This window comes from Homo sapiens, chromosome 5 (genome assembly GCF_000001405.40).
Source record: "Homo sapiens chromosome 5, GRCh38.p14 Primary Assembly".
NCBI lineage: Eukaryota > Metazoa > Chordata > Mammalia > Primates > Hominidae > Homo > Homo sapiens.
The window spans coordinates 88499073-88513183 of record NC_000005.10 but is presented as its reverse complement, the minus strand read 5'-3'; the positions used below and the strand labels follow the sequence as shown (position 1 = coordinate 88513183).

The following is a 14111-nucleotide window of genomic DNA, read 5'->3' as shown; positions in this document are numbered from 1 at the left end:
ATTATACTCACAAAATAAAAAGAATTGTGATTTGGATTTCCCAAGTAGCCTAGATGATTTAATGTACTTAGACAATTAGAATGATTTATTTGGGAATTTGGAGACACACAAGTCTCATTTGCTATTCTCTACATCATGTGTAGTCATTTGGAGAGATATTGCACCCTACATAAAATGTTTCCAGTAGCTACTGACTTCCAAAGAAAATCTTTTAAAACTTCTTACTCAGGCTGAGGCGGGTGGATCACCTGGGGTCAGGAGCTCAAGACAAGCCTGGCCAACATGGTGAAACCCCGTCTCTACTAAAAATACAAAAATTAACCAGGCTTGGTCGTGGGTGCCTGAAATCCTAGCTACTAGGGTGGCTGAGGCAGGAGAATTGCTTGAACCCAGGAGGCAGAGATTGCAGTGAGCAGAGATCGTGCCACTGCATTCCAGCCTCGGCGACAGACCCAAACTCCATCTCAATAAAATAAAATAAAATAAAATAAAATAAAATAAAATAAAATAAAATAAAATTCTTACTTAATTCTTCTGGTTATCTCAAGAAGAAAGTCTCAGTTTGATGTTATATGTTTTTAACACCTAACACTTGCTAATATCCCTTTTAACAATGAATAGTTCAGTAGACAACTGAATCTATGATGAACCTGGATAGGTTTGACAAGGCTCAATGGGAATAAAGGAGGAAGTCAAACCCCTGTTAGAGATCAGTATAGCTATTTGCACTATGAGTTCTGGAATCCACAAATCCAAGGTGTTTCCTATGTTCATTTACTCAAAGGGTCTAGTATACTTGGAAATTTTTTATCAAAAAACCGAAAAAATACAGGCTTTAAGAAAGGTTAATCTAAATGCACAGAGGACAGAAAAATATTAAGAAGTCTCAGGGTGTATCCCCAGTCTTTGGTGTTTCAAGTGGCATGGCTCTTTATGCCCCTAGTAGAGACAGAATATTGGATGGACCATGGCTCAGACTCACTAGATTAATACTTGTGCTTTTAAGTGAAATCCTCTATTTCTTTGAAAATACCTCTTTTAAATTGCAGATGAAGCTGATCTGGGGAAAGGTGTCCCTAAAGAGAAAGTAGCGTAAGTGCCCATGTTAGTGCTATCTTACTGTGTGCACAGGATAAATCTAATGCAGATTGAACTAATCTAAAGTTCAACATCTGTTTCATTCCAAGTGGAACATTTGAAATTCAATGCAAAGAAGGACTTTCAAGCCTGGCTTTTATTCTGAACAACTAATTGCAGTAGTCAGTTTCCAATTTTTGAGTCCATAAAGCCCCTTAGCTAGCCCCAATAAAAGTCCCATAAAGTAGCATTATGTTTGATGAATGTATTATAAGTTTCATTCGGTTTTTAAAAAGAGCCATTGTATATAATTTTATAAATTTTTGAATTCAGCAATATTGAGTATCAGTAATATTGAATATCAGTTAAGATCCTGTCCTCTGGAGCTGGACAGACGTGGCGTAGAATTTCACAGCTGTTATGGACTGATTTCGGGCAAGTTATTTATCCTAAGTCCAAGATTCTTTTTTCTATAAAATGGGGATACAAATAATATCACATAGATAGTATTAATGAACTAATGCTTGTTGAAAGCAAGCATTAAAAATACAAAATAATTTAAGTAAGCTCTTAGCATAATACCTGGCAAAGAGCGAGGGGTCAAAACATATTAGCTATAATTAATCACCATCCTACTAGCAGCTTTATTCAGCACTGATCTTTAGATTTAATAGCTTGGTTTATAGAACACAACAGGTTAAATGCATGTTTAAAAAGCATCTCTTGATATTTTCAAACCTGCAGATGTTTGACACAATGAAAATAAAAAAAGAATTTGTACTTTTTATCTGGGAATTTTGATATTTCAACATTCACAATGATAGCAGTGTGAAGTATGCCCATCCTAGTCTTCATTTACTCAAATTTTCTATGACACTCTCTTTAGCTAACTCTGCCCTGGAATGGGTTGTTTCCCACTTCCCTAAGGTAATAGAATGTGTAGAACTGGAGGGTGAGAGCTCAGAGCTCATCTCTGGGACAGCTCCATCAACTTTGCTTTTTGTAAGGGGGAAACTAAAGCCCAGAAGGGTTAAGTGGCGTGCACAAGTTTGACTGAGTCAAAATTTAAACTGTTTCCCATGCTCACTCCATTGCATCACACTGGTCCTCAAAACTGCAAGGGCTCAGCATTTCTATCCACTATACTTTCTAGGCCCGATTAGAAGTTATTTTCTAGTGTATTCTTAAAGTTCAAACACAAACTTTGACTTCAGTGCAAACATTAGTTTCACAAGATTTTTAAATGTTTTAGATATGCTTTCCAGAAGTTTAAGAGACTGAAGCTACACATTGTGGTCCATTTATACAAAGGAAAATGGACTTGACAAATACTGTTCTGGCAAATCAGTGCTAAATATAATCTTAGTTAAGGAGACATTTTCATTAAGCATCCTCTTTCAAATGCCAGCTAAAGCTTTTCCTGTGTATATGCAACATTGGGTATTACATGTAAAATATCCATACATAATATGTGTATTTTATTTATGACAGAGAGCAGTCATAATGTATATTAGGCACTCAGTTATTATTTAAATAATGTATTTGTGAATTCTTGATAATTTGTCTTGTTGTCTAGAGCCTAGGATAGTGCCTGGCACAAAGGCATTCAGGAGATATTTGCTGACATCCTGAATGAGTACTGTCTTACAGAGAACGTGCTGTTGCCAGTTAATGTGCTTTGTACACTATCTATCATGGCACAAAATTCAGCCCAACACCAATTTCAGTCCTTGAAATATTGTCAGGAACTTAAAAAAAGTGCAACTCAGTTATTCCAGCCTCTGTGATAGTTTTTTTAAAATATGCATTTGAAAACTGTGATTATTATATTATAATGTTACAAGTAAATTTCTCTTTGAGAATATATATTAAAATTTCCTTGCCTATAACCATCATACAGTGGCAAAGTAAAAACTCCAGTGGCTCCACAAAAACTCTTCAAAATAATTAAAGTAGAATTGCTGAGCAGATAGAATTAACAAGGGTCATGAATCAAGTCAGTTCGAAGGTGAAATTTTGTGTGGGGCATTGATATCATTTTGGCTCAGTTAAGAAAGAAAGAGGATCTTGAAGAACAATGCTGTAAATCATGAGGAAACAGGAACATGTTTTGGTTTTCTAGAATTAGTTAATTTTTTGTAAAGCAATGTTTCTAAGAAGACATTTTATAAATGTAGATATATTTTAAAATTGTCTTTCTCACTAAAGAATTGTGATATTTCCAAAAGGCATGCAGTTTTTCTGAAAATTTAAGCCAATATCTTGTTGAGAAAAATGCTTTTTAAGATCATATATTAAACCTTAAAGAGAAAACAGCTAAAACCCCAAATTGTGTGGAAAAAAGTCCTGTTCTGTAATTCTGTGTATGATGCTGGGATTAGGCAAATGGCTGATGGCTTGATCTGTCAGGGGCTAACCTGAAAACTGCTGACTTCCTGGATGTGAGCCAAAGGTTGCCCTTGGGGTTAAGATAAGCCAGTTAATCTCCTGACTGAAACAACTAGTCTAGACATTGAATTGCTCTGGCACGGTACTTGTCAGGGATGTTGTGGACTGACTACATTCTAATTTTGCCCACTGTGTAGTCCTGGAATTGCAGGGTGTTTTGGACAAGAGGATGGCACGGTTGCTATAACTTGACTAATTCAGCTGCGGAGACAATGTTATATAAGGTGGGGTGTTGGGTTTTGCATAATTTTTTAGATCAATTCCCAGTCACCAATGAAGAGAAAATAGCTGCATAATAGGTCTAGCTTGTTTTATTCATGCGTAAGGATGTAATAAGGAATCTGTAAGCTGGTATTAGACTGTGCTTCTGATCCTCTGAGAGGTTCTTCTGGCTGTGAGGATCCTTAAAAGTCATTGAGAGAGTCATTTGGGACTGCTGTATGCTGATGACTCTGAACTGAAAGACACATCCAAAATGAAAAAAAGAGTTTCTAAAGAGCCAGCACAAAAATAAAGGCAGTCATTGGACATCAAGCAGAAATTTGACACAAAACTCTATCATTACCTGGTATTTTGTTATAAGAAACACTAAAGCAGATTAAGAAGAAAAATAAGTGGTGCACAGGCCTGGAACAGCCTCAGCCTGGCAAGAATTGAAGACTCCAGCCCAAACCTGGATGTGATATACTGACTTGATCCATTTTGATTTGCACCATATCTTATTCAAGATTGAACTCTTACTTCATTTCAGGATATTTTGGGCTAGAAAGATGAACAAAATGAAGTTCTTCTTTTAATGACTTTATATTCCAGTAAAGATGGTGATGTCAAATGAGAAAAGAATATCACCAAGAAAAAGATGAACAGCCACCATCACATACTTACTTAGAGGAGATTGAGACCTCAGCCGAAATAAGCGAAGGATTCCGGACCCATTTAGAAATGTGTCCTCTTTAATTTTCTTATCTTACTTTACACATTCTTCTTCTACTCATCTAAACCTGTAGCTACTATTGTATTCTATAGACACCAAATATTTTATCTCTAACCTCCTCTCTTTTCTGTTTTCTTTACAACTACCTTTTCTTAGGTTTTCAAAAGTTTTTTATTTGAACTTTTCCAGAAATTTTCTAACTATTTGCCTTCTCCTCTTCTGTATACCTCCCTTTGGTCTAAAACAAATTAATGTCACCCCATGGCTTAAAATCTTCCCCAAACTCCCCTACCACCTGCAAGATAAAGTCCTTATTTCTTAACATGACTTATAAGGAACTTTTTGTATTGAGACCTGTCTACCTTTCCAGACTCATTGCTTCCAGCTGTTCGTGGACCAATACTAGATGCCAGCAATAGAGAAATCACTGCAGTTCCCCAAAGGTACCACATTCTTCTGTATGTCTCTTCTCTTCTATTCCATTTACCTGGAAAGTCCTTTTCTCCACTTATCTGCCTGCTGAATTCATTCCAATCATTCCTTAAAAGTCAACTCAAGTTCATTTCTTTAAAATGCCTCCTGCCCACATTTCTAGACAAAATCATGCACTTTCGTTTCTGTGAGCTCTCATCATGAGCTGTAATTATTTGTTTTTTTCATTTGTCTCATTATTTAGGATGTGAAAACTCCAAAGGCCAGTAACATGTGTTTGTGCCTGTATGTTATAGATAGATAAACTCATCTCGTACTCCCTATGTTTACCACAATTTCTGGTTCAAAACCAGATGCTTAAGAATAAGAAAGAATAGGAAGAAGAGCAAAAAAGAAAGAAAAAGCAAGCAAGCAAGCGAGCAAGACTTTTCTATACTAACTACACACTGTTAGCATAAACTGTTCTTATCAACACCCATGATTGTTTCACTAAGGTCTTTATGAACTCTGTATTCAACTATTTTGTCAACATAGAAACATTAAGATTTAATGAAATTTGTTCTTCATATACTTTAGCTTCTCATGATTTTTGCATCTCTAGGAAAAAAGTCACGTGTTCATGATGATCAAACACAGCTGTTTGATTGGTGTTAAAATGGATCTGCCTGATAAGACCTGGAACTGAGAACCCAAACAGAGCCTTAAGGTAAGCTCCCAAGGGAAGTGCTGGCAGTAGATATTCAGAGGCATTTTGGACAGTTGGGCAATCAGAGTGAGACTGACCCACAAGCAGGCAAAACGTGTATGCATTAGCAGGGGTGTGGAAGAGGGCTAGGTTTTGACTGAGGGTTGGAGAGGACATGAGCTGGTTTTTGACTGATAACGACAAATGAGTGATTCAGGCAGATGGAACCTCCGTGAAATCTTCTGGAGAATCCAGCTGTAAGTAGTGAATACCCAGTCACAGCAACTGGCATTCAGAAGCAGTTGACAAGCCTCGGCAGCCTTGGCAGGAGGGACAAGTCAAAGTTCTAGGTGTCAGAATTGAGGCAGAGAATCAAGTAGAAAATTGGTACAGCAGGATGGAGACCCAGAGTATTAGGACAGAGCTGTGTGGCAGAGGTTCAGTCACTGTGGAGTAAACAAGAACTCATTGTGATCCTAGAAAGTAGCAGCAAGATTATGGTAGGGCTGGTAGGAGGGTGGCCTGATACTGAGACACTGAATGTGGCCTCTGTTCTCTCTTCAGATACAGGATTGGGAGCTATTGGGAAAGGCTTGAAGCTATAGCTTGTGAGAATGACCCTCGATGCTAGAGAGATAATGGACAATAAGTTAAACTTCATTTTAGTCAGGACCCTGGGTACTTACAGTGTCAAAAGCTTCTTCCACTAGTAAGAATCACTAGAAAATTACCAAGACATACCCAATGGTCTATTTATTTTGTGGATGCATTAAAAAATTCTTCAAATAGCCCCATTCTTACTGTGCTTTGACCCGTACACTCCCTATAATTCAGAAGAGTGAAGAAAGAAACAGTGGAGGAGAGAATGTACTTAAAAATACACAGTTAACCTTTTCCTCAAAGCCAAAGCCTAAAGGGAGAACAGCAGTGTAAAGAAAGTAGGAGGAGGGCCCAGGATGACTTCTAAGGGAAAAAGAAAGGCATCTTTTGTCCAAAACTAAAGCAAAATCATGGCGATGTGATGTTGCTTTTTGTCCATAACTAGGTCATAATAGACAAATGAATTTCTAATGATGAAGAACTCAGGATGGGATAGGATCAGGGAGGGGAAAAGCAAGCCTCCCTCAATGTGCACCACATTCATTTGGGACAAGGATGGTGTAGGTGTGCTGTCTGTCAGCTAGAATGTGCATGGGCTTGGGAAGAGATGAACAAGAACAGAGAATGACTCCCTGGGCCATGTTGGGCATTAGTAGACTAGGTCATTCATTTTGCCTTCTGGGATAGCATCTTTCTTTTTGATATCCAAGATAGCTTTGTGATGTGTCATCTTGGCTAGGTTAAACCACTTTCCCCAGAATTCCCATTCAAGTGTGTTTCTGAGTTTTCCAAATGTAATTAAAATGTAATTAAAATGACTGCTCAGCCAGAAATTCTCTGTAATAAGTAAATACACTCACACACATACACACATGTGCATACATGTACATGGATATATGTGTATATATGTCTGTATATTTTTATATATATATATATATATTTAAAATACATATATAAAGGCATCTTTTGTCCAAAACTAAAGCAAAGTCATGGTGATGTGATGTTGCTTTTTGTCTATAACCAGCTCATAATAGATAAATGCATTTCTAATGATGAAGAGCTCAGGATGGGATGGAATCGGGGGGCAGGGGAAAGCATGTATTTATATGTATTTTAAAATATATATATAAAAATATAAAATACACACAAAAATGTGCATACTGGTTCTGCCTCTCTGGTTGAATCCTGACTGATACAATACCTCATCTTTAGCATATTTTTGTATCTCATGTTAGAGTTTGCTAAGGACTTCTGCGTGTTTATTAAGTCCTAGATGACAAAACTGGGGCCCAGAAACAGTAAGTGACCTAACCAATGCCATGTAGCCAGTTGGTGATCTAATCAAGACCTCAATTAAAGCTCAAGTTCCCCAGCCTGACAACATTGCTTATAATGTTAATGTTAACATTTCTAGTGTTATGTATAAAAAAGTTTAATAACAATAAATATACAAGTTAAAAGTACAATAAAACTTTTTTGGGGGTATAGGAAAAGCACAATAAAACTTTTTGGTGGGTACAGAAAAAAATGTATTACAATTTGGATTGAAATCGTAACTTCTCTTTATATTCCTGAAAATTATATAGAACTCCATTTTGGGGAGAGGATTGAAGTTTGTGATTAATTCCAATATTTATACAGAAAAATTTTTTAAAACCCAGAGAATTTAGCAATGGGTTTACCATTTTATATTATGATGCCTCCAGGGCTGGGTGTAGAGTGGCTAGGGAGGGCTGGGTGAGGAGAGATCTTAAAGAAGTAACAGATGTAAAGACCCAATAATAAACTAATACACCTGTGCAATAAGCATTCTATATTCTCTCATGTATTACTCAGATATAACAGTTCTAATTTAATCAACAGAAGATATCATGTCCCATCCTTGCTGCTCTCTAGAAGTATTTAATATCTCAATCACTGAAAGTCAGTATTGAAAGGCTTTAGTCTCTATCTATTATCTATCTATCTATCTATCTATCATCTATCTATCTATCTATCTATCTATCATCTATCTATCTATCTATATCTATCTATCTATCCAATTTTTTCCCCTTGGGAACAACAATAGGTATAAAATCCTAGGATAGGGGAAAATTTTGGAAGTAGTGATAGTTTTTATTTTTTAACTTTTAAAAAATATTTTTATTGTTATATCATAGTTGTACACATTTTGGAAGTTCATGTGATATTTTAATACATGTGTACAATGTATGATGATCAAATCAGGGTAACTAGGATATCCATCACCTCCGACAAGAGTAATTACTAAATTATAGGGTAAACGGCTAAAAACAATGCACTTAGCCTTAAGCATCAACATCTAACTATTCATTGTTTTTTTGTTTTTGTTTTTGTTTTTTTTCTCTTTTGGCCTTCACACAAACTGAGAAAGCCACAGCCCATGTAGAATGGAAATATAGTATTTTAAACCTTTTTTCTTCTGAATACAAAACCCACCTCTTCGCTGGGAAATTGCATTCCCATCCCAATCAGTCTTAGTGAAAACCACTGATTCAGGGTAATTTCCCAGGACATAGTGGGTGTTGTGGGAGTGACAGCCCACATAGAGGGAAAAACTGACTTAAGGAGGGCCTAGGAGGGTCCTCCCTCAGGATATCCTATACAAGCTTGTGGGGCAGAGGGCCATGCCTTCCTGTGTGGTGAAGCTATGGAAGGGTTGATGGTGGTTTACATCCATGTCTTCCAGAGTATGGGAAAAGACTGTCTGCAGTAGGAGTGAATAAACCTAAGTTGTAGAGAGATGCAGGGGAACGGGCCCGCTGAGAGGGAAGCCTGGTACTTCCAATGGGTGGCTCCAGCTATCCCTGAAGCCCTGGTGCTCCGGGGGGTAGCTAACTTTTGGATTACTCTAAACTTCATTTTGATGAGCAACCAAAGAGACTGGGGAATAAGGATTGGTGAAGTGCTCTATTTCTAGAGGCTTGTATTCCAAGATGTGTGTGAGAGTTTTGTCTGCTGGGGGGCCAGGCTAGTACCTGAGAAGTCTGGTCTGAGCTTGCATCTCTGTGGCCTGTGGAGACTTAACATGGAAAGGGATCATCCTGGTAGTTTATCCTTACACAAAATGGATTGGCCTGGGAGTGAAAACTAATTGTACTTGTAAAGTTTCAATTGTCTTTTCTTAAATAAAGGGGGGGTGGGGGCACGGTGCAAAAATTGGGGAAAACCGTGAAAGGGAAAAGCATTTTGAAAAATTTTTAAATGCCCCTTATTATTTTGTAGTTGCAGGATTTTGGTTTAATTTGAATCAGTTAACTCTCAGAGGACATCTGTAGCATTTAGAAAAGGATGGCTAATTTGCAGCAGATACGAGCTTTTGTGCAAAGGCAGAAAGATGTACTGTAACATATGATGCAGATCACTTTAGAGTAATTGAACCATGGCTTTTGCATGCTTTCGATCTTAAGCTTATCTCTATCTGAAGCCTGTAGAAAGTCTTTTTCCATTTACATAACAGGGCAAGAGATTATTACTACTAAAATTAGATCCACGAATTGCTATGCATAGTGCTTTGTAGCATAATCAAATTATGATAAAATAGCCTTTATTTCTTTATAGCTATATAATATAGTTAGGTTCTTTCACAATTTGTTTAGAAGTAAATGGGTGGCAGTACTATCTTATTATATTAAAACATTGCTGATTTTTGGCCAAATTGACAACCTTGCTTGATTGTTTTTTAGAGATGCTTATTTGAAGAATGGGGAGGAGCCTGACAAAGGCTAATATGTTTTCCTTTCTTGCCACTCCTCCCCCCAGCCTTTTTTTTTTAAATGTGAGCCACTGCTCGTAAGTTCTTCCTGCACATCCTTATCACTTACTGTGATAATACGATCCTGAGAAAATGGTTCCTGTTCATTTGATGTGACCAGATAAAGTCAAAAGCCTTATGCCCTGGAGAATCCTTAACTGTTTTCTCCCAGATTCTGAACAGGGCAAATCACAAAAACCTTGTCATCAGTTAAATTATTCTTGTAAAGATGTAAACATGGTAGGGGAGGGAAAACAAACTCAGAGAATCAAGGAAAAAAATGTGGCAGTGGGGGAAGAGAAGAAAATGGAAATTAAGACTTGCAATGGAGGAAAAAACAGCAGAAAGGAGAGAACAGAAAAAATACGACAAGGATATGGCTATGAGGGAAATGAAGGCTAGAGAGAGGGCAAAATATAAAACCAAGGGAAGCTTAAAACATGGTAAGAGCAGATTCCATCCCGTTTAAAGGCTCTGAAAGTTTCTTGATGGCTCTATTGAGCAGAACCCCCCACCCCCATCCCATTCTATATTATTGTTAATGCTAAAGGTAGCTGTAGCTGCAGAGGTGGCATTTCTTCTAATTTAATTTTCAGTTACTGAACTCAGTTACTGACTCTTTAGAGCCGGAGGGAGGATGAGCCTTTGTTAAAGCTGCAGCCGTTAACTTTCACTTTTCTTTTCAACCTCATTAGATTTCCTGAGGTTTAGTTCTAGACTTAAAGCACTGCACTGTGGCTAAACTATGTAAAATAACATTTTTGGTGAAAAGCAACACCTGCAAAAATGTCACACAAATTTCAACTTTAGTTGTACCCAGTGATGTCACCAAATGAAGTGCTAGTGCAGACGACACAAGTAATAGGGTATTAAATTTGTCACGGGCTTCATGGAAGCCACAGCCTGTGACTCCTTCATGGCATCCTGCAGTGCAATGATGAACCAGAAAAACTCCTTGTCTGGTGGCACCTTTATATTTGTGTTCAATGAGTAGCACACCCATGCAGACATAAGCCTCATTGAAGCAGGATTTAGAAGAGGCTGCTTCCCTGGTTTAGTCCACACAGGGCATCAAAATTCTGATTTAATTGGTATGGGTAACCTGTTTCCCATGTGTAGGGAGATTCTTGAACTCAGAATATTACAAAAATGACATTTTCTTGATTTCTTGAGAATGACTAAAGGCTGGAATGAGAACTACAGATGATTGACTCTGAACAATCAGGTACAATGATCTACAAAGTTTATACAATGCATGTGGTGATCAGTCTCTGCTGTCATGTCTTTCGGAGAAACATCTCTATGCTGGCCCAATCTGTGGATCCTGGGGTGGTGACCTCGTCCCAAATGGTCAGGGACAACCAGGGAGGCTTTACTGCCTCAGGACTCACTTTGCTGCTCAGAGAGTCTCTGTGCCTCTGGTCTCTATGACAAGCTGTTTTCTCTCCTCTGTTGTTGCATTCTGTTCTTTATGTGACATAGAAAGACATTTTAAAGCCACCTAAGTGGGACAAGTCCCTCCTGTGAAGGGTGGAAATCTAATTGGATCCACCGTCTCTTTGGTGCCTTGGCAGTGCCTATGCAACACCTTTAAATCTCCTGTAAGCAACGGTAACTTGGACGTACTGTGTAACCACTTCTTGTCCAATATCATGTACGTTTGCTTTTCTTGACATACTAGCTGTGTAAAAGTCACTCTAAAGGATACATAATGATATAGGAATTACTAAAGAAAAAGTTGGCTGGGTGGGTGGCTAAAATATTTTATATTTTATTATTCTCCATTAAAAAGGTAGTGAAATAAAATCAGATTTATTTGATAGAAATATGTACCAGATTTCATTTGGGCTTGTTCTAGAGGAGTATTTTCCACAAGATTTTTATTATTTTTTTTAAATTTTTTTAAATTTTAAGTACAATAGGAAATATATTTAAATCATGACCCATTTATTACAATGTACACAATTCTTACTAAGAAACCATGCGATGTGTTCTGATTGTTTCTATTCTATTTGTTTCATTTAAAAATGCTTGTCACATCCTACTACATTTCCTTCATTACCCGTGAATGGGGAGTGACACACAGTTTGTAAACTACTTTTCTATAATTTTGAGCACAATACGCACAAAGGATAAAAAAATTTCAGGCAGTAGAAATTAAGTAGTAGACACATGAGTCTAAATTCTAAACACGCAGTAGGTGTTTTGTTCTTGTTATTTTAAATATTGGATTTAATTGCAGATTATTTTTTGAAGATTTTGGTGGTAACTAAGCCCTTGTTACCCTGAATTCATTACAATGTTTCAAACCAGTTTTTAAGCACAGCATTAAGGCTCTTTGTGGCTACTATCTTATATAATCTTTAATATAACACTATGAGATAAAAGGCTTATTGGATGAAGAAACTGAGGCTAAGACTGAAGGCAATTTGCTCCAGGTTGAGATACAATTAGTAAGTAGTCAAGCCAATGTTCTCCCAAGTGCTGTGACTTTTCTGCCCACTGCCAGGCCCTTAGCTAGAGAGGGGCCAATCAGAATCACCCAAGAAGCTATTTCCACCCACACAGTCTCTCTTCCTATCCCTCCAAACTCCATCACACTTGGCTGCTGCTTAGACTAACGGAAAAGGAAAAAGTGGTTGGTTTTTCTTCAGCACTGTAAATAGACTTGATCTCTACACCTCCCCAGCGTGACATTTTTATATTATAGTATAACTTGGTTATAATATAATTTGATTTATATAATTTACCTCTAATGACTCACAACATATCATAAGTAGATTGAAAAGTACACCAATTCTTCATGGAAATTTTTAAAAAATTAAATATAGGCACAATTTGTTACTCTTTCTGAAGACAAAGTGATAACTTAGAGGTATTACTGCTTCTAATAAAGAAGCCATCTATCAGCTAACCAAAGCGTTCTTTTGAAAATACAACAGCCAAGAGAGGGACACCTCCTTCTTACTCCCCAGCTTTCTCCATGACCCAGTTGTTGGACTGAAGCTGTTGTTTATTGTAAGTAGTCTCAGGTCAAAGAAGCTGGACCCGAGATAAGGTATATATAGTACTAAATTAATTGGTTACAAGCTCCCAGAAATAAAGAATAGCATTGAAAATATAGCCACTAAGTTACCAATTTTAAATATTTATGTTTAATTATTTAAAGAAAAAAAAGTATATTTCTCTGCCTCAGCTTCCTTCACTTGATTCAGTAGAAGCCCTTGTAGTCCATATGCCTGGCACAGTAGGTTGGTGTGGTGAACACCACTGCTGCTCCTTGGTTTTTCTAGCTCTTCTCCTTTTCTGGCACCCGGGAGGATTACGCTTCTCTACCTCCTTGAATTTAGGGTTAGTCATGTGGCTTGCTTTGGGTAATGTGCAGAAGTGAAGTGCATCAATCTTAGGGGGCATTAACATGCCTACGTGGGATTCTTCATGTTTTCTCTTTCCTTTCCATATTGACCCAGGATGACACATGCTTCATACAGTAAGTGCTTCAGATGCTACCCATGGAGGATAGGTTTCAGAGCCTGCAGATTTAAGGTGAGCAAGCAATAAAGATTTGTCGTATCGTTCACTGAGATTTGGGGGTTGTTTGCTACCACAGCATAATCAAGCCATGCTATTATAGCTGGTAAATCAAAAGAGCTGGTTAAAGCAAAGAATCTTAAACAATAATTAAATGTTCTTTTTAATTTTAATTGTAATTTAAAATTCTTTTTAATTTTTAATAAAAATGTATATAAAATGACCAATATTTTTGTTGTTGTTAGCCAGGACTTTTCTTCAATGATGAGTGTGCTGACTGGATTTCCATATTGTCTTTCATGCAATACCAAATAGATCATGCTTTGTGCAGGGTTTTTCCATGCAGCAAGAATGCAAAGGCATGGGTGAAACCATATGACTGCAGACTCTTCTGGCTTCTTAACATTGCCCTTTGCAAATATTTCACTTTCATCTCTCTTAGCAAACCTTTTTCAAGAGACTTACCTTTATTAAGTCTTTCCAAAATACTCTTTTTCATTTCCATACAAGCACCTTTCATTCTTGTCACACTCATATTTTACTAATGTGTGGTATTTAATTAAATAATTGTATAATTCAAATAACAAGCACAAATGGCAGAAAAAATTTAAGAATAAACATAAGTGATTATT

At 37.1% G+C, this 14111-nt stretch overlaps 2 annotated features.

The window, feature by feature from the left end:
* Positions 10784 to 10893: an enhancer, noted in NCBI's record as "active region_22757". NCBI's record gives its function as "activates an Ori minimal core promoter by ATAC-STARR-seq in GM12878 lymphoblastoid cells {active_cell/tissue: GM12878}" and the evidence as "EXISTENCE:reporter gene assay evidence [ECO:0000049][PMID:35858748]".
* Positions 10904 to 11053: an enhancer, noted in NCBI's record as "active region_22756". NCBI's record gives its function as "activates an Ori minimal core promoter by ATAC-STARR-seq in GM12878 lymphoblastoid cells {active_cell/tissue: GM12878}" and the evidence as "EXISTENCE:reporter gene assay evidence [ECO:0000049][PMID:35858748]".